We start from the raw sequence: 21,335 nt of genomic DNA, 5'->3' as shown, positions 1-21,335 counted from the left end.
TCCATTCAAAAGGGCTCACAGAATGCCCAGCAGAATAGAAGGGGAAAAAAATTACAGTGATCTGGACAAAGAGAAAACTCAAAAGGAAGAGAGAAAATTGCTAAACATTTCCTGCATGGACAAGCAGGTTCCCTACTAGGATTAAAACCCATGCTGTTTCCTGAAAGCTTGAGAGAGGCTCATAAACACCAATACAGTCATTGATAGAAAGTGACCATCACATTACTCTGTAGTTTAAGGGGGAAGGAAGAGTAAGCCGATTTCTCCATTGATCCTTGCCCAAGACCCAAACACCAGGGGCACACATGAAGTCTGATTAGGTCAGGGTTATTGGCTTGGAGCAGTGAGGAACAGCATACACCACAGTTTTGGGGCATTTACCAGAAAGGGAAAAGATAGAGTTATTATGCTTGCAATCCCAGCACTTTGAGAGGCTGAGGCAGGATGATTGCTTGAAGCTGGGAGTTCAAGACCAGCCTGGACAACATAGAAAGATCCCTGTCTCTACAAAAAAGAAAGAAAATTAGCCAGGCATGGTGGCACACACCTGTAGTCCCAGCTACTCAGGAGGCTGAAGCTGGAGAATCACTTGAGCCCAGGAGTTTGAGACTGCAGTGAGCCATGATCACCCACTGCACTCCAGCCTGGGCAACAGAGTGAGACCCTGTCTCACCAAAAAAAAAAAAAAAAAAGAGAGAGAGAGAGAGACAGAATTATTATAGGACTTGGGGAAGAGTGGAGCTTGGGTGAAATTTAAATTCAGCCATCATTTTATAAGCTGAAACAAAGCAGTGTTGCATGTTGATGGGTGATATGGTTTGGCTGTGTCCTCATCCAAATCTCTTCTTGAACTGTAGCTCCCATAATTCCCACATGTTGTGAGAGGGACCCGGTGGGAGATAATTGAATCATGGGGTTGGTTCCCCCATATTGTTCTCATGGTAGGTGAATAAGCCTTATGAGATGTGATGGTTTTATAAGGGGTTTCCCTTTTTGCTTGGTTCTCATTCTCTCTTGTCTGCTGCCATGTAAGACGTGCCTTTTACCTTCCACCGTGATTGTGAGGGCTCCCCGGCCATGTGGAACTGTGAGTCCAACAAACCTCTTTTTCTTTATAAATTACCCAGTCACGGGTGTGTCTTTATCAGCAGCATGAGAACAGACTAATACAATGGGTCAGCCTCAGGACTGGATGGCAGAGTGGATGGAGGGTCCTGTTTCTTTGGAAATCAAGACATTAAAACGGATGTGGAATTTTGTGCCTAGAATTCCTTCATCTGAAACTTTACAGCTGGAGTGGAAATTGAAGCAGCTTCTCTGTATCAGAGTGACTTCCATCCAAAGGTGGGATGCTGCTTGTTACTCCTGCAACTGCAGACGGCAGAGTTTTCAACAGTCTGTGACTTGAGAGAACAAGGTCTTTCTGTGAATGAGAAAGCAGTAGTTGTTCTGACATGTCACAGCTTCAGTGTGTCCTTGGGAAGAACATTAGTAATGTTCCAGCTGGATTTGTCTATTTCTATTATCCCAGACTCATGAGTAGCCAGGCACAGTGTTACTTTCTCAGTCCAAGTTCATCGGATCCTCATGCCTTCTCCTCCCTGCTCTCTGCCCCAAGGCTGACCTGCAGGAACCACATCAAGGGTTCCCATGCCCCCGGCTTCTGCTTGGGATAGATCTGGCAGGAGTGAGAGGGAGTGAGGGGAGAGGACAAGGGCAGGGCAGCAGTCCCAGTGACTCCGTCCCACAGGGCCGCCTGGAGAGGGCTGTGTCCTGGGTCTGCAGAGGCTGCTTTGCACAGCCCTCTCCTGTACTTGAGACCCACTTTCTTGCCTTTTCTTCCCAGGGGCTAACAGCTTGGCTGCCACCAAGCCAGCATGATACTCACCCACACCTTATCAGTAGCCTCTGCACAAAGAAATCTCCTTGACTTATCTATTTTGAGTGTGCCATCTGTTTCCTGATGCAGGTGGCACAGTCAGTATAAATAAGTATCATTCCAGATCAAGCTTCCTAATGTGCCATTAGGAAGTCATACATTCTCGGGCGACTGACATTGCTACTCAGAGCCTTGGTTTCCCCATCGGGGAATGCAGAGGAGTTGAAATGCTGTTGTGTGGATTCAACGAGGGAAACATCGAACCTAGCCGTGTTAATTTTGTAAACCTAGAGTGTTGCTTCCTGAGAAGGAGCTGTGGGGTGGACTGCGCATGCAGGGCTGAGTGCCAGGGTGTCCTCCCTGTCTCTGCAGGAACCATGCTCCCACCAGCGCTGGCCACTTCCCAGAATCCTGCCTCTTTTCCATGCCTTGTCCAGCTCTGTGAAAAAGACATTTTCAATTCCACATTTCAGTCCTCCCACTGAGCCTCAGCCTTAATGTGGAGCCACTTTAATATATAAAAGACTTGTCAGGGGAAATGTTGTCATTCCTGTAGCACATTTCTGGAGAAGAGCTTTGATTCATCAGTTTTTAATTCCGTGGGGAGATGGAACGAGATAAAACAGCCAAGTTCTGCCTTTAGAAATTCCCATGGCGCTGCAGCCAAACTGCACCCTCACCTCAGGCTTTCCTTTGGCCCCAAATGGTTGGTTTTCCAACTTTGGCGGTTACCATTTCCTTGTGAGCAAATTGTGAAGAACTCATGAGCTATTGTAAACATACCTAGGACAAGGGAATCCATGAACCCTGCAGTGAGCCTGATGGGTGATACTTACGTGGGGTTCAAATGCTGCACTCCTTCTCTCCAATAGTGAAGGAAGGGAGGGGAGGGGACCAGAGGCTCCTAGTGTGGGGCCAAATAACTCATAGACCTCAGGAGCGAGGAGGCTCCTGCTCACTCAGTTGTGAGTTATTTGGGGACAGATGGAAATTAATCTGAACCCAAGGGACCCACTGCTCCAGGAAGAGGGGTTTTTTTCTGCCAAGGAAGGTTTAAGGCCCTGGGCTGAGCAACCATTCTATCCCCTCATCTAGAGCAATGCCTAGCATTGAGAAAGTGGTTGATAATTATTACAGGATAAAATGACGTTTTATCCTTATTTTTCCAGAGGAGACCCAAAAAGATTAGGCAACTTGCCCAAGATCAGGACGCAGGTAAAAGGCATCTCAAGGCTGCTAATTCAGGCCTCTAGACACCAAATCCAGTCCTCATGCCCCTTCCTGTGGCCCCATATGCAATGAGTGTGCTCAGTCAAAACTGGACAGCACTCAGTGTCAAGCACTGAGGGACAGACACAGTGCTGTACAAAGGGGGTCTCTGTCTCAGCCCCTCAATCTTGAACTCAGGAAGTGGTTTGATTTATCAGTTCTGGGTATATAGGTCCAGATTCAAGTACATCTGTGGGGTCATCCTGCCAGGCATTGTGAAGTCACTGTGAGTAGTGAGTAGGTGCTTACTAAGAATGCAGGACCGAGATAATGCATGAAATATGGATTTTGATCAACTACATTTGGGAAGAATAGCACACAGTGCCCCCTTAAAGATGTATAGTGCACACTCATGTGCTGAAGACTGAAAAGTCCCATGGTGAAGTCATCTGTTTATGTTATTCAATCTAGCGTTTCTCAAATGTATTTGATTTAGAAAACTTTCTTCCCCATCTTTATAACACACCTTGGGAAGCAGTAATGTTAGGTCAATCCCAGTAACTGAGATCCTGAGGCAGAGTCACCATTGCCCCCCCATAGTTGGCATAGTTGGACCAGGAAACCTCCATGTAGTCTTCTTAAATGGAAAACTATAGGCTGCAAGGAAGTTTTGGTCTGCAGAACTTCTCTCTTCTACTACTTCAAAGTTGAAAGTTACACATACCGAACATGTTCCCAGATGAGGAACTCTAGCAACTAGCGTTTCATACATCTCCAAAGTTTTCAGTTCAATTAGATCATGTCAGTTGCCCTGTCCACAAATTTAGGAAAATGAGAAAATAAAGTGATTGCTAGTAAGTCCCAAAAATGTCACACAGCTGAAAAAGACAGAACAGTGGAGTTTAGAGAAACAAACATGCATGATTGGAAATTTCCATCAGGAAGCTACTTCCCCTTGTGCAGGACTGTGAACGGACTGGACCCTTCTCTCACCTGCAAAATGACAAAGTGATGGAAGGCACCATCATCTTCAATGCCAACATCACTGGGTCTCTAATTCCCCAAACCCAACAACTCCCTACCCTTCTCCGTCTTCACCCCTCCCTACTGGTTCAGAGTTTTGCTGTCTCTTACCCAAACATTTCTGGTAACCCCCAGATGGTCTCCCCTGTTCCCTTCTCTCTCAAGTTTTATCTACCTTGCACTCCCTTGGAGAATTATTTTCCTGACAACTGCAAGATCAAGTCACTTTCAGGCTCGCAAGCTTCAGTGACTCCCGCTTTAGCCAGGTATCTAAATTTTCTGCAATGTAAATTCAACCTCTGCAAGTTCTTCTGCTGAGACCTGACTGTATAGCTCCACAGGATGAACTTGCCATTTCCAACATGAGTCTTGAAATTCCGAGAGATCTGCCTTTGCTTCTAAGGTCCCCACACAAAGTGGCCATATGGGTCCATCCTTGACACCCAGCTACAACACTGGCTTCTCCATGCTGAGCTTTCCTTTTGAATCGCCCTAGTTGGAAGCAATCTTGTGCTGTTCTGAACAATGACAGTGTCTTGCGTTGCCTGCTTTATAACCCTTACCACTTTCTTTGTCATATTTATTCACCCACATATGTTATCTCCTGTATTGTAATGTAAGGTCATAGATAAAGGTCATAGATAAAGGCAGACAAACCTAGTTTAGTTTACTATTCCCCTTTCTATTCTATTTCCTCTACATGCTCATATATAGGAAAACCCTAAAAATGTTAGTGAAATTGAGACATATAAACATTTGTGTTTCTGTCAATATCCCTCTAAAATCCAAATGTGATTGTTCTAAAAAGTACATACCAGCAATCTGTCTGGAAATCTTCAGTGACCAGGAAAATAAAATCTAATATGACAGGAGAGATCTGTATTCATTTTGATTAAATATATTCATCCAGAGACAAGAACAGATGGATATCTTCCCTTTGTACCCAGCCCATGATGAGAACAGCAGCTTCTGCTGGACTGTAATCAATGCTAGAGGAAGGACTTACCAACAGCAGCAGTTGTACCTGGAGCCAACTTTGGCTCAAGATGTTGTCCACCTGAAGACTACCTGAGCCAGCTTACTGAATGACAATGCAGAGCTTCACTGACAATTTTTTTTAAAAGTTCTCCTGCCTTCCTATTTCTTCCAGGCCTTTAGCAAGATCTGCAATGATCTAGAGCATTAAGAACCTGGCTTCCAGCCAGGCACAGTGGCTCACACCTGTAATCCTAGAACTTTGGGAAGCCGAGGCAGGAGGATCACCTGAGGTCAGTAGTTCAAGACCAGCCTGGCCACTATGGGGAAACCCCGCCTCTACTAAAAATAAAAAACAATTAGCCAGGCGTGGTGGCGAGTACCTGTAGTCTCAGCTACTTTTGAGGCTGAAACATGAGAATCGCTTGAACCCAGGAAGCAGAGGTTGCAGTGAGCCGAGATCACGCCACTGTACTTCAGCCTGGGTGACAGAGTGAGACTCCATCTCAGAAAGTAATAATAATAATGATAAAATAAAAATAAAAACCACATTCCTGTCATATTTCAGCTGTGAATCATAGGTACACAAACACAGGATTAGCTATGTTTTACAAGACAGCTTCTGGCAAGAAACTAACAAAACAGTTGCATTTTAGAAATGCAGAAACTTCAACTCCCTATCATGAATTACTGAGTGGTCCCTGGAATGAATTGCCTGTCCTGGTGCGGGGGAAAAATTAGCCCTTAGTTCATCTAACTGAGGAATAGGACGTTCTAAATTTTGGTATGATAGCTTCATCCCTGAAAGGTATTTTTCTTTCTTTTTAAAGCAGTTTCTGCAATTGACCAGAGCAATTCTCAGATACCAGCTATTGGAAATTCTCACATAATCTTCACAGACATGCTTTTCTCCTTTTGTTATTGCTCTGTCAATAGCATTTGGCCAGGGGAAATGAGAATTTTCCCATTTCCCACTAAACGTCGTTAGATAAAAATTTTCCCCTGTTAACAGAAATGATTTTGCCTTATAAAAAGTTCTTATTCTTCTTGGAACCGAGATGACTCTCTAAGATCTGCAACTTTTTGAAAAGTCATTTGTGGCCGGGTGTGGCAGCTCACGCCTGTAATCCCAGCACTTTGGGAGGTTGAGGCAGGCTGATCACGAGGTCAGGAGTTCCAGACCTGCCTGGCCAAAATGGTGAAACCCCATCTCTACTAAAAATACAAAAAGTAGCAGGGTGTGGTGGCGTGTGCCTGTAATCCCAGCTACTCAGGAGGCTGAGGCAGGAGAATTGCTTGAACCTGGGAAGTGGAGGTTGCAGTGAGCCGAGATCGTGCCACTGCACTCCAGCCTGAGTGATAGAGCAAGACTTCGTCTTGAAAAAAAAAGAAAAGAAAGAAAGAAAAAAAAAAGTCATTTGTTCTATGCGGACCAAGTGCGTTTATGTTTTTCTTTAGAAGAAGATGTTATTTTCAACAATTTGGTAGAAATCTATGCCCAAGTAAGATTTTAAAATTCAGACCAGAGAAAAAGCAATGATATGAGCCCATTCTGTTTTTATGATTACCTGTATCATCTTGCTACTTAAGGCACTGATCGTGTGGTAAAATTACGCAAGAAGAGAATAATAGAACGGAATGTATTTACATTTTTGTTGTTGATTTTGTCTCCTTTTAGAAAATGCTTTGAGAAAATTTTATATCATGAAACAAATTGGTAAATAATTAATTTAACAAGTTATCAGCCACCTTGACATCTAACCAACATTGATTTTGCTTTAGGTATTATCACTATGAATATCAAGGTTATCAGTAATTTGGGGCTTACCTGCTGAAAATAGTAAGCTTCTACTTTGCCATTTTTCTTTTTCTGCACAAATTGTGTTGGCTGGTTTTACAGGCAGGTGGCCTACGCAGTCACATGGGGCCCTTGGCTCAGAGGGGCCCCCCACTTGGTTTAATGCTCTGCTCCTGTCATCTTGAAATTCATAATACTTTTATTTCCAAGCTTGTGTTTTGTATGTAAAGTTTGTAGTTCTAATTTGCATTTCCCTAATGACTGGTATTGTTGAGTATCTGCTCATATGCTTAGGATTTGCTACATTTTCATTTGCTTAGGATTTGCTATCTTTTCATTTGCTTGGAACTTGCTGTCCTTGTGTCTTCTTTCGTTAAGTGTGCGTTCAGATCCTTTGCCCATTTTTTAAGAAATGGGTGGTTTCCTTACTGAGTTTTGAGTGTTCCTTATGTATTCCATATACAAGATCTTTATTAGATTTGTGACTTGCAAACATATCCTGCTAGTCTGGTTTGTCTTCATTCTCTGGGTATCTTTTTATTCTCTTTGTATTTCTGTGTATCTTTCACAGAGCAAAGCTTTTAAATTTGATCATATTATTTTTATTTTTTATTTTATTTTTATTTATTTATTTATTTTGAGAAGGAGTTTTGTTCTTTCACCCAGGCTGAAGTGCAGTGGTACGATCTCGGCTCACTATAACCACCACCCCAGCCCCCGGGTTCAAGCGAGTCTCCTGCCTCAGTCTCCCAAGTAGCTGGAATTAATAGGCACCTGCCAACATGACCAGGTAATTTTTTGTATTAGCTTTTAGTAGAGATGGGGTTTTGCCATGTTGGCCAAGCTGGTCTCGAACTCCTGACCTCAAGTGATGCACCCACCTCGGCCTCCCAAAGTTCTGGGATTACAGGCATGAGCCACTGCACCCAAACTGATCAAATTAAATTTATCTTTTGAAGTCATATCTAAAAACTCTTTGATAAACTCTAGGTTATGTAGATCTTCTCCTACATTTTCTTTTGCACTTTTTTAAGTTTTATGTTTAATATTTAGGTCATAATCCATGAGCTAATATTGAAAAAGTTCTGAGGTGTATATTAAGGTTCTCTTTTTTTAATCCTTTGCTCAAATTACTATTAGTAATTCTCCATTGAATTATCTTAACATCTTTGTCAAAAATCAATTAACTATATTGTTTGGCCTTTCCAAACAGTTCCTGTGCTTATCCATATACATTTTAGAATCAGCTTACTGAGTCTTATTGATTCAAAAGTTTACTGGGACTTTGATTATGCTGAATCTCCACATCTAATTGGATAGAATTGACATCTTAACGGTATTGTATCTTCCAATCCATGAACATGATATATTTCTCCATTTATTTAGGTCTCCTTTAATTTCTCTCTTCAGTGTTTTGTAGTTAAGCATACTGATCCTGCACATCATTTGTTAGATTTATATCTAAGTTTTTTTACTTTTGGCTTAATACAGCAGAAATTTGTTTCTTGTAGTCTGAACTCTGAGAAGTCCAAAATCAAGGTGCTAGCAAAATTTGGTTGCTAGTGAGGGCTCTCTTCCTTATACCTAAGTATTTTATTTCTTGTGATGCTTTTGTAAATATTTGTAAAATTTCAAGTTCCAATCGTTTACTGTTCACATACAGAAATATGCTTCACGGCCGGGCCCAGCCAGGCATGTGGCTCACGCCTGTAATCCCAGCACTTTGCGAGGCCAAGACAGGTGGGTCACGAGGTCAGGAGATCAAGACCATCCTGGCTAACACGGTGAAACCCCGTCCCTACTAAAAATACAAAAAAATTAGCCAGGCGTGGTGGTGGGCGCCTGTAGTCCCAGCTACTCGGGAGGCCGAGGCAGGAGAATGGCATGAAACTGGGAGGCAGAGCTTGCAATGAGTCGAGATCGCGCCACTGCACTCCAGCCTGAGCGACTGAGCAAGACTCTGTCTCAAAAAAAAAAAAAAGGAAGAAAGAAATACGCTTCACTCTTAAATATCAACATTGCATCCTGCAACCCTGCTCACCTAGTTATAGCTATATAGTATATATAGTGTATAGTTTCTAGTTATAGAAACATTTTTTTCTACATTCTTAGGGATTTTCTAGATAAATAATTATGTCATATCCAAATAGAGACTTTTTAATTTCTTCCTTTCTAATCTGTATCTTTTTTTCTTGCCTTACTACACTGCTTAGAACTTCCAGTAAAAAATTGAATAGGAATGCTGAGATAAAATATCCTTATGTTGTTCTTAACCTTGGGGGCAGGACATTTAGTCTCTCACCATTAAGTATGATGACCGCTGTAGGTTTTTCATAGATGCCTCTTATTGGGCTAATAAAGTTCCCTTGTATTCATGGTTTGCTGAGAGGTTATGTGACGAATGCATAAAACTAATTTTATCTCCATATACCAACAACAACTGGAAGAAGAAAAAATTTTGAAGTACGATTTACAAGAGCATCAGAAAATCTTAAATACTTAGAGATGAATTCAATTAAAAATATGCAAAACCTTTACACAAAACACTGTAAAATATTGATGTGGCAAACTAAAAAACACCTACATAAAAAGAAAAATATATTAAGTTGTAGATGGAAAGACCCAATATTATTAAGATATAAGTCTCCCCAGATTGATCTTCCCCAATTGTGAAATCGATCTATATATATTCAACATGATCCTAATCAACATCTCAGCAGGGCTTTTTTTAAATGTTTTTTGTTTTTTTTTTTTGAGTTGTTTTGATAGAAATTGACAAGCTAACTCTAAAATTATATGGAACTGGGAAAGACCCAGGAAAGCAAAAACAGTAATCACGACTGTGTGAAATGTGCATGTGGATAAACGTATAGATCAATGCAACAAAAGAGTTTATATATGGATGGATGGAGGGATGGATGAATGGATAAACAGGTAGATATAAAGAAAGATACCTAAAGATAAATATATATACACATACATACATACATACATACATATATACACACACATATAAAAAAAGAGAGACAGATAAGTCAATAGATTTTTTCGCAAAGATGTAAAATAATTCAATGAGGGAAAAGATTGTCTTTTTTCAACAAATGGTGCTGATACAACTGGATACCCATGTGGAAAAATGATCATTCAGGCTGCAGAGTACAAAAAGGATTACAGTGGTTGAGAGTAGATGAGGGAACACCAATTACAAAGCTCTTACTTCCAGGAGAAATGATGCCTATAATCTGGTAACGCCTAAGAATTTATTTTATAGATGTAAAAAAAACTGACACTAATCTAAATGTCTATCCACAAAAGCCTAGTTAAATAAATTGCAGTTTATTCCTATAAAAGGATAATATGCAACTATTAACAGAATAAAGAAGCTCGTTATCTTTATGGAATGAACACCGAGATAAATTCTTTAATTTAAAAGACCAAGATGCATAATAAAGTAATTGGACATATTAGTCCCTTGCTGGGAAGACACTGAAGAACTTGCTCACACAAGTTGTCTGGAAGAAGAGTCCCAGGCTGGCCAGGGTACTAGGATGGGGAAGGAGGTTTACTTGTCATTGCATTCTATTCTATACTGTTTGAATTTATGGTTTGGTACCTTTACATTACCAATTAAAATACATACTACAAGCTAAAATTATATATATTTTTAATTATTTATTTATTTATTTTTTGACGGAGTCTTGCTCTGTCGCCCAGGCTGGAGTGACACCCTGTGGGTCATCCCCCAAGGGCCGTCCAGCCTCCATCTTCCAAAACCAATTTTACCTGGTGTCTCCAACGACAAGGGGAAAAATTTGGCATTCCTTGGAGACTTAACAGGATGCAGTGAAGTCAGGCACTTTCAAGAGCTGACCTATCAGTCTGCCCTTTTTCATCCCTGAGTGGATGTATGGTGGGATTATGGAGGACCTTTACTGGACACTTTACCAAATAATCAGAGCAGTACTTACGCTCTAGTTCAATTGGCTATCCCTTTTACTCTGGCATTCAGCAACCAGAAAGAGAAAAACAAAAGTAGCCTCACTTCTTACCTCTTTAACAACTATAATAAGTGTACTCCTTCTTCTTAGGTATTATGTTGCACCATACATCCAAGAGTTAATCAAAACAACTAAGCCAAGACATGTTAAGCAAGTTTGAAGAGGAAAACGATAAAGTAAAAGAGGAGGGATTGCAGAAAGTAAAAAGTTTCCCCTTCAAAGTTCCCCTTCTTGTTAAAGAATAAATCATAAGTGTTAGAAATAATAGTTTCTTTTAAAGACCAACTTTCTTCAAGCCTCCTTGCTTTGTGCTAATAACTCTTTGTTAAGCCCTATCCTATATAACTGTTGGACATGCTCACAGGCACATCCCAGGTCACGGCCTATGCCCCTTCCTTATTTGGAAATGTTATCGCTTCCTTAAACCTTTTCTAAGCAACTTCTTTGTTCTTCCCTGCACTTACCTATTTAGGAAAGTTTTAGGCTATTAGCAAATCGGGTATCAGTTTAAGATTGTGAGGTCCTGCTCCAGCCAATGGATGCAGGACACAGCAGTAAGGACAACCCAAATGCATAAGGGATAAATAAGTCTGCTTTTCCTTTGTTCAAGTGTGCTCCCACCATTGTTCCATCTGCGATTAAGCACCCTTTCTGCAGAAAGTAAAGATGGCCTTACTGAGGTCTTTTGTCTCTGTACTGACTTCTCTTTGCGGCATCGATTATCTATTTCTAACAAGGTCGGAGGTGGTAACAGATGCAAGGACCTACGGCTGGAGGAGAACTTTTACCCTAGAAAAAAATTTCAAGTAAGTGGAACCAAAAACTGGCCTCAGTCACTAAACAAACACATAGACAGAAATTCAATTGAAAATGCTCATAGAAAGTCTTGCTTTGTCAAGTAACAGCTTCTTGGTGTAACAGCTAACATAAATTATTGCCGAAATAGTTGCTTACATTGAATAGAATAAAGTAACTTGCTTTAGAAATGACTACAAATAAGATAGCTAGGCTGGGCGCAGTGGCTCATGCTTGTAATCCCAGCATTTTGGGAGGCCAAGGCAGGCAGGTGGATCACCTGAGGTCAGGAGTTCGAGACCAGCCTGGCCAACATTGTGAAACCCCATCTCTACTAAAAATACAAAAATTAGCCTGGCGTGGTGGCAGGTGCCTATAATCCCAGCCACTCAGGAGGCTGAGACAGGAGAATAGCTTGGACCCAGGAGGTGGAGGTTGCAGTGAGCCGAGATCATGCAACTGCACTCCAGCCTGGGCTACCAAGAGCGAAACTCCATCTAAAAAAAAAAAGATAGCTAAAAGCTGGGACCATTTTATCAAAATGTTGAGGCTTAGATGACAATAGTTATTTGTGAATAGCTATCTAGCTATCTGTTAATGAGTTGCCTCGTCGTAGAGTCTTAACCATTTGCATATAAGAGAGCAAGCGTCTCTGTTCGCTCTATCAGGGAGTCATGCATTCACCACAACACAATGTGGTAGGCTGGACGTTAAGGAATACGTTTTAAAAAAAGGGACGTGGGAACCCAAATAACCTAGACTCATCCGTATTTTAAGCAACTAGTCTAGCTATAATTTTTAGCTATTGCAAGCTATGGGAAGCAAGGGTGGGGAGTCTGGAGCGGAAACAACAGGCAGTCAGCACGTCCTGTATTTCCTGCGGATGGCAATGATAGTGAGTTTGTCAACCCCCTGCCTCTGCTTCAGCAGCTGATTGCACAGGTGTGCCTGATGAAGATTCTTGGCTGTGTCACTTGCAAAACCTGCTCCACCTCAGCAGCACAGTGAGGACTTTGAATTTTTTATCTGATGTGCAGCTTCCCTCACAACCTAGCAGCGACTCAGTGTCCTGGAGGCGTTTTCTTTCTCCATCCCTGCCTCGTAGCCTGTTCTGCCTGCTGAAGTCTTCTCCCCTGGGAAAGGACAAATCCCCTTGGTGCTTCACAGGGAAACGGTTTTGCTCAGTGGTCACCAGTGGTTCCCCAGCATCCAGAAGTTGCTGTGTTTGAAGAGCAGGACGGAATTTTTCCTGAGAAGCAACAGCAGTGATTGGCAAGGGCGCAAATGGTGAGTGGGTTTCCCTCACACGCTGCACCTGCTCCATGGAGGAAATGCATCCCGTGGGAGACAGCAGCACCACTGCCAACAAAGCCCCTCAGGTCCTAACCTTTCTGCTTTGCTTTGGGGAGCAGGAAGGATTGGGGTGTAGAAGAACCTCATTAAACCTCATTCAGTATCACTAATGCACTCACTCCACCCGAAACATTAATTACACTGACTCCTAGTCATCATTTGCTACTTTTTTACAACATTTCACCCACTTGAAAAGTTCAACTGTTCAGATGAAAGCCATTTTATAAAATAAATAAATAAATTTATACATTTTATCTCTCATCCCCAGTACTGTGGTAAGTTAAAACAAAGATGCCAAGATACAAAAACCCCAATATTCTATCTGGGTTGCTCTTCTGCCTATTTCTTTTAAAAGTATGTGGTAATAATACTGGAATTGAACATTTGCTTGTTGTGGCTAGAAAGGCTTAGTGAATAAGACACCTGTATCTTCCCGAGATGACCAGGAGATGGCGCCCCAGCTAGGGTGGGAAACCACTGGCAGGCTCTTCCACCTGCAGGAACCGATCTGAATTGGGAGAAAAGGAGGGGAAAAATATTCAGTGTATTATTGCATGGGCTGATAGAGGTTTAGGACAATGATCTCAGGATCTCCTCAACGTTTTATGAGTCTCTTCTATTTTGAGAGACTGCATGAATAACAAGAGGAGCAAAATAGGAAGGGAGAGAACGCTTAGGAAGGGAAATGATGGCATCGTTTTAAGGACATTCTGCAGGAAGGGACTGTGCTAAGTGCTTTCCATGAATTATCCTCAGCCCTCAGGCTCCTGTCCCGTTCAGGGAGGTTCAATGAGTGGCTGAAGCCCTCAGAACTGAGAACCGTCTCGAAGCCAGAATTCAGACTCAGTTCCGACTAGAGCCACAGCCCATCCCCTGAAAGATACGCACGTTTCTTTAAGGATGAGGGGTTCCTGGGGCCTGTCTAGAATATAAGATACTCAAGAAGGAAACTCACATGCAATTTGAGAGGGATAATAGTAAACACGCTGCACACCCATCCAATGTCTTTGGTAGTGTTTCAGATCAGATGTATTAGAAATAAAATGTCCCCGCCCGTGAGGAGTTAACTGCCTTGTTGAGCAATGGGAACTAACATGGAAGACAGGACCAGGAAAGTCCATGTGGCTAAAAGAAGCACATTTAGGTGGTAGATGAAGCAAAAACTCAATGTCCTGACAGGCGGCATTTTGCTGATAAAGCACAAATTCCAGTGACCTTTCTCGTCAAGAAGAAAAGCCTGCCACCTTTTCAAACACAAGGATAGCTCTGTGGTTCTAGCTCCACTCCTCTCCGCTGCCCTGAAGTGAGCTCTAGTTCTTCAGAATAAGGCTGACATCACCCCATCACCACAGGGCTGTGACGGAATCTGAGTGAGGCATATTTTGCCATTGGCCAGGTATGCCCAAGTTTGTCAATGTTTTTCAGAAGTTACAACAAACAGGAAAGTTAATAACGAATAGCTACCAACTGTCCACTCCATGCCAGCCCCGGTCCTAAGCACTCACATGTGTTCCCTCGTTCTCAGGACCCCCTTTCCAGGCTGACCACACCAGCAGATGAAGAACAAGGGCTCAGAGCTGTGCCCTGTTGCATCCCAGCAGCCAGACTTCCTGGGGCCGCTCAAGTTACTCAGCCCCTAGGGACTCACCTTCTCATCCATCAGCTGCAATTAATGTGGCCTGCCTCATTTGCGCGTTGTGATGTTGAATGAGTTAAGATTTCAAGGGCAGAGCTTAAAGGTCTGTGCTTCCAACAACCATTAGTTGCATAGAATAAGTTAGCAGCAAGACCTTTCATTGTAGAGGAAAATTTCTTCCCCAGTGGTGCATTCATGATGTGTAACTTTGTCCTTGTTTTCCATAAAGCTTTTTAAAGCCCCTTGCTTAGGCCTCGTAACGTGCCCATTAGGAGGTAGTGTAGCAACTCTATCTTCCCCATTTCAAAGTCATGGAAATTGAGTCAGCGGGCTGCTGCTTGCCCACCGGACATCTAGGCTCCAGTCTGTGAGTCCATTGTCTCATGTTCTTTCCTATAAAATATTCTGGGAATCATAATCAAGGGCTGCCTCAATCAAGTGGACAACTGTGTATAAAATAAGAACCTGGGTGAGAGGCGAGAGGTGACAACCGTGGAGAAAGCAGAAGAGAGTTCCTGTGTCCATTAGATACTGAACATGAATGAGCACTGGCCTAGCGGTTTGCCCAAATGGCTTCCAAAAAGGAATTGGAATTATACTTACCATGACCATTCTTGAAAGTTTCCTAAGTACATAGTTTTATGTGCTGGAATCTTCTATTGGTCCCTTGGATCCGCTCCTCATCTTTTTCCATCGTACTCTGCCCCAGAAGGGGTCCTGCATGAACTACATCAGTAGGGTGTCCATGACCCCCAGCTTCTGATTGGGTTTAGTCAAGAGGGAGCCCCTGCAGAAGTTGAGGATGGCAGAGATAGGGGAAGTGGAGAGTGAATCAGGGTGTTTTTCTACTTGTTTTCTCTTGCAAGGTCACCTTGGGCAGCCCGAGTTCCTCAGCCAAACTTTACTTTCCTCTCAAGCCAACTCTACACTAATCTCCCTCCTTCCAGATTCAGGCAGTTGCCCTCTTCCCAGGTATCTTCCAGCCTAGGGTGGTAACTGTGTGGCCACCACCAGCTCTGGAACAGCATAGTGTCCTGTGTGTTTCTCCTACACAACAGCCATTGAAAACTATCTTTCTGTGAACCAGACCCTCTTTGAATTGCCCCACCTTGATGGTGGCAGGTTCCTTTGGGACTCTATCTGGTGCACTTGGATATTTCAGCTACTTCCTTCCTGACAATGAGAGTTGAGGCATTTGCATTCCATCCTGGGCTCTGCCATTTACTAACTGCATGCTTGGTCAAGTTGTTTAGGCTCTGCTGGCTTCAATTTTCTCATCGTCCAATATGGGGAGAGGCCCTCTTCTTAATTACTGCTGCACCTCACCATCACCTGGGGGGCCTTGTAACAATTGGTTAAGCCAGAACCTCTAAGAGAGGGACTTGGACATATGTCACAGCCCTAGCTTTCTTATGTTACAAGGAAATCTGGAAGGTACCATCTCTCACATACACCTTTTGGGCCTCAGGTTCACTCAGTGTTTATTTATTGAGCATGTAGGGGAGGAAAAACTTTACATCTACCCTCTTAGGGTCCCTGGCTGGGCCTGAGAATTAAATTGACATAGATTGACTGGAGAAAAGCAAACAAATGTAATTTAAGTTTTATCTGACTCAAGAACCCTCATAAGGAAATGGACACCCAAGGATGGGGTTAGAGTTGAACATTGTATACTGAATGGGAATTGTGGACAAGTGACTCAACCATGTGGGGAGACTAAACGAAGAGAAGAACTAATTTTTTTTTTCTTTGAGATGGAATCTCACTCTGTCACCCAGGCTGGAGTGCCATCGTGCCGTATCGGCTCACTGCAACCTCCGCCTCTCAGGTTCAAGCGATTCTCCTGCCTCAGCCTCCCGAGTAGCTGGGATTACAGGCACATGCCACTGTGCCTGGCTAATTTTTGTATCTTTAGTAGAGATCAGGGTTTCACCATGTTGGCAAGGCTGGTCTCGAACTCCTGACCTCAAGTGATCCGCCCACCTTGGCCTCCCAAAATGCTGGGATTACAGGCATGATCCACCACGCCTGGCCAATAAGAACTATTTTTAAAAAGGTCTGTTTATGCAGAATTCTTTCAACTACGACTCCCCATAGAAGAATGATTCTTTTCTCCCTTTACAGAGAGTACATTTTTCACGTGGGAGATTTTTATCCCTTGTTTTTAGGAAGAAAAGGGGTGATTCGAATGCCCTTCCTGTATCTGCTATTTCTCAAGTGCCTTCAGCTCAAGAGAATCCTTCTGCCAAAGTGACCTATTTTGGGGTGGCCTGTTCCACCACCCTCCAAGCACAGGTCAGGAATTGTGTTATACATTTGGCTCCTGGTCAGTGGAGGGTGAGGTAAAAAGGCATGTCACTAAGTCATCATATGGTGCTGGGACAGTGGTTGGTAAGAAGGGCTTTAGAAAAAACATACAGAAGACAGGATTGCTTTGGAAAGGAGCAATTTGTCAGCCGCGCTTCCGAGAAATCAGCAAAAGGAGAGAGGAGGTAGATGCGGACTAAACCCAACTAGCCTAGGACGCAAGTGGAAGCCTGGGATGGTGACAGGAAGGCCAAATGGCCATGGTGGTCAGAGCATGGCTGAGGAGATCGAGGCCAGGCTGCACTCAAGGCAGGCTGCAAGCATCTCTTCAGACCTGTCCCCAGGCAATGTAGAGGGCATTGCATTGTTTAATGGGATCAGATTAATGTTTGCTACAGAGTGCCTTGTGCAGGAGGGACAGGAGACGAAGAGGAGGGAACGCCACTATAGAATACAGGAAAGAAGCTGAAATACTTAGGTGTGACTCAGTCACCACTAATTGCTAGTATATTGCTTAGCAGGCCTAGGAGACAGCTTGGAATGAGAGAGACAGCAACTGGTGTTGGATGGAATGTGACAAAGGGCGGAGGAGAGGGCAGTTGCTACTGCTCACCTGTGTGCATGTTGAGGCTGTGAATCAACAAAGGGTGTGAAGCAAATCCACCCAGCAATAACAGCTGCTGCATCCATAGAGAACTCTCCTCCCCTAAAACATCAGCCACAGGCACACCGCACCCTGGACTTCAAGCACATCCTCCGAGACCTTGTGAAATTTTCTATGGGCATTTTCACTTCCAAAGAATCCTCTGTGCCTGCTTTTTCCAACGTGGGGCAGGCAGATTCCCTGACTGCAACCTCGTTCTAGGCGGGGCTGCCACACAGGAGGATGAGGATTTTGGTGACACCCACCACACCCTGACAACAGTCTCCCCTGATCCCTGATACTGAAGGCAGAGATGCACCTGCAAGAGACAAGGAAGGCCATGGGAGTGGGCCTCGGAGACAGAGAGGGTCATGGGGGAAGGCACCTGCTATTTGCCCTGGGCTTCCCAGGGGTGAGTTAAGAAATGACTTCTCCCCACCTCCGTTTTCACCCCGCTATGAGGAACTTGTCACTGGAACAGTCTCTACGAAGCAAGCCAGGGCAATGACCTGGCCCCTGCCAGCCAGCTGACACTGCTGACTTCAAAGGCTCCTCCTTCTACTCGTCTCCTGCTGATATCAGGGTCCTGAAATCCAGATGGGTTTATTAATTCATTCATTCATTTACTCATTCATCAAATATTAACTGAGGCCACTTGGGCCAAGGTGCAGTAGACCCTGCATTAATCTGCAAAAAAGGCTATTTACAAAAAGAAGGTATCATCAAAACGGGGCTTCACCATTGCAAAGAAGTGGAATTGAATGGATAACACCTAACATGGAACAGGAAAGGCATAAGCATAAGTTTACTCAACAGTCTACATGATTAAGCATAATTATGCCACAAGGCACAGCATTTCTTAGGGGCCACTGATGAGCTAGGGGATTGATAACCTACAGAAAAGATGAGGGCCATTTCCTAGTGATTAGGCCAAGCTCCGAGCTGGCTCATTTCCTTTTAAGCTCATTTCCTGTGATGACACTGTTGTTATTGTTATTTTAAATCAGAAGACACATGCCCAGAAAGTCAAAGGCATGTAACCAAAAAAAAAAAAGAAAATGAATATATTTTTTAAGATAATATTTTCCCTTAATTATCTACACATTTTATGAAGAAAGCCATATTTTCAAACTGAAGCATCGTTCGAAAACTGATTCAATTCTTTCCCTCTTTGTGCATGTGCTTTAATTCTGTGCTCATAATCTATATTGGGCAGGAGGATGGGACAGCCCTCAGGCCTTGGAGATTAAGACACAGAAGAGATGCCCAGAAACCAAGGGCTGAAGTGTTGGGGCTTCCGTAGGTATCAATTACACTCTGTGTAGTTTTGTTCTTTCCAACTAGAGGTGGTTTTTAGGGTGGTATTGAGGACTTTCAAGGTTCCTCCATACCCTGGGTTTATATTGTTCCAACTGCAAGAGATTAGTCTACTCAATTAGCCAGAGGGTCACTGCTTAATCACGGTAGTATCTCCCTGTTGCAAAGACAACAGAGAAGAGGCCAGAACTTGAGCAGGGTGACAGCCTTTGCTCACTGCCCCTTTCTCCCTCCACAGGCAGAAATTCCACTCCAGTAGCCTCCTCACTTTGGAATGAAGAAGGAGAGAGTTGCATTTGGAACTGTCAAGAGCGTGGCAACACTTGTACTTGATCTCTCCAGAAGGAAATGATTTTGGACCAAGCCACTCTTACAGTCCCCTCATTGGAGAGGGCAAGGTGGCATCTCTGAGGACAGGGGACCCACCTGGTCAGTCCTGGGTTCTGTGCCCACTGACAGGCAAAGGCATGTCCTGACTTTTGGCCTTGGATTTGCCACTTTTAAAACCAGTGCTTAAAAACCACCTCTCCCTTCTACAGTAGCATTAAATCACCATATGTTGCTAAGCTCACAGCACCCAACAATGCTTCCGTACAGGGGTTAGGACTTTCACTTAACATTGCATGTTCCTCTGTGAGTTAGGTGACCACATTTTTTTATTAAAATATTTGTATTGCTTTTCTTTCTTGGAATTTTTTATGTGTTGAAAACTTCTAAGAGCATCCTTGTTTATTTATTGATTTTATCACGCTATGGGCCTATGACAGGGCGCACTAATTATAATCCTCCCAGGAAGACAAAATGCTTTATGATGTTTTAATGCAGGAGCTTCTTTCTGTAAGAGGCCAGACTGGTAAATATTTTAAGCATGGGCTAAGTGGTCTCTGCCGCCATTACTCAGCATTGCCATCGTAGCATAAAGGCAGCTGCAGACGATACACAAAGGAACGGGTATGACTGGGTTCCAACAAAATGTCATTCCTGAGCACTGGAATTTGAGTTTCATAGACTGTTCATATGCCACAAAGTAGTTTTTCTTCAAAATGTGAAAACCATTCTGACAGGACATAAAGTATAAGAGGCATGTCATATTTGGTCCATGGGCCATAGTTTGCTGACTCTTGTTTAAAGATTTGGCACTAGTTGTTAACTATAATTTCTTCACAGCTTCAGAGTCACTGTGGCACGACACTTCTAAACCTGTACCAGAACCCAGGGATTAGCCACACTTTTCGTAGCTCAGGGCCTCACTGTACCAGGTGCCCAGGGATTTATTTTTATTGCCCAGCTCCCTGCCTCCCTCTGTTCTGTGCCAAGGACTTTGCTGGGGTCCCTGAGCTCACCAGGAACACCTCTGTCCTCAGGGCGCCTGAAGTCTCTCCAGCCCAGGGACCCCAGAGCCCCTCAATATGGTTACTCTGAGCTTGTTGAGCTTCCCAGCAGGGAGCTGCTAAACTGCCCACCCCCGTCCTGTCCTCCGTTGGACACATGCCACCTTGTCCTCCACAAACTCTCCAGGTGGCACTAGAAAGTGACCTGGAAGTTCTTCTGGATTTAGCCACCCCGAGGATTTTAATGATGGAGCTGCTTCTGTTACTAGCAATGGCTGCTTGATCATCTCCTGGATGGTGACTGCCTCGATGTCACTCAGGGCTCTCCAGACAAACAGCATCTCTTGGAGATATGCAAGGAAATGTATTTTTAAGGAATCAGCTTATGCAATTGTGGGGGCTGGTGAGTCTGAAATCTCCAGGGTAGACCAGCAGGCTGGAAGTGCAGGCAGGATTTCCATGTTGCAGTCTGGAGGCAGAATTCCCTCTTCTCTGGGAAACCTCTGGTTTTCCTCTCAGGGTCTTCATCTGCTCACATGAGGCCCACCCACATTATGGAGGGTCATCTGCTTTACTTAAAGTCAAACGATTGCGGATGTTAATCCAACTACAAAATACCATCACAGCAACATCTAGATTTGGGTTTGACCATACAACTTAGCACCATAGCCTAAACAAGTTACACAGAAAATTAACCATCAACCCCAAACCCAAAGTGCTGAGCAAAGACAGCAGCATGGTGGGAGTGTTCCCATGAGGAGTAAGAAGGGTCTTATTCCTCAGAAGTTTCTCTTCTGCTGCTGACTTGGGGAGAAGGGAGGAGATTTTCCTCGATGAATGTGTTTGGAATGAGTGTATGAACAATTGGAAAACCATCCAGCTCATTTGTCCTTCCCACTCTGCCTGAAGATCAATTGTTTGACTCCCAGAGACCTGGTCATGCTCTTGAGGAACTGACATATATTATGCACCTTAATGAAGCAAATAAATAAAAGAGGCTCCCACCCACTAACAAGCAACATTCACATACCCAGATGTCAGTGAGCAACACGAAACTGTATGGAGATCACA

The sequence above is a fragment of the Homo sapiens genome, chromosome 2, assembly GCF_000001405.40.
Source record: "Homo sapiens chromosome 2, GRCh38.p14 Primary Assembly".
NCBI classification, from domain to species: Eukaryota; Metazoa; Chordata; class Mammalia; order Primates; family Hominidae; genus Homo; species Homo sapiens.
The sequence above is the reverse complement of the archived record's forward strand: the minus strand, read 5'-3'. Positions refer to the sequence as shown.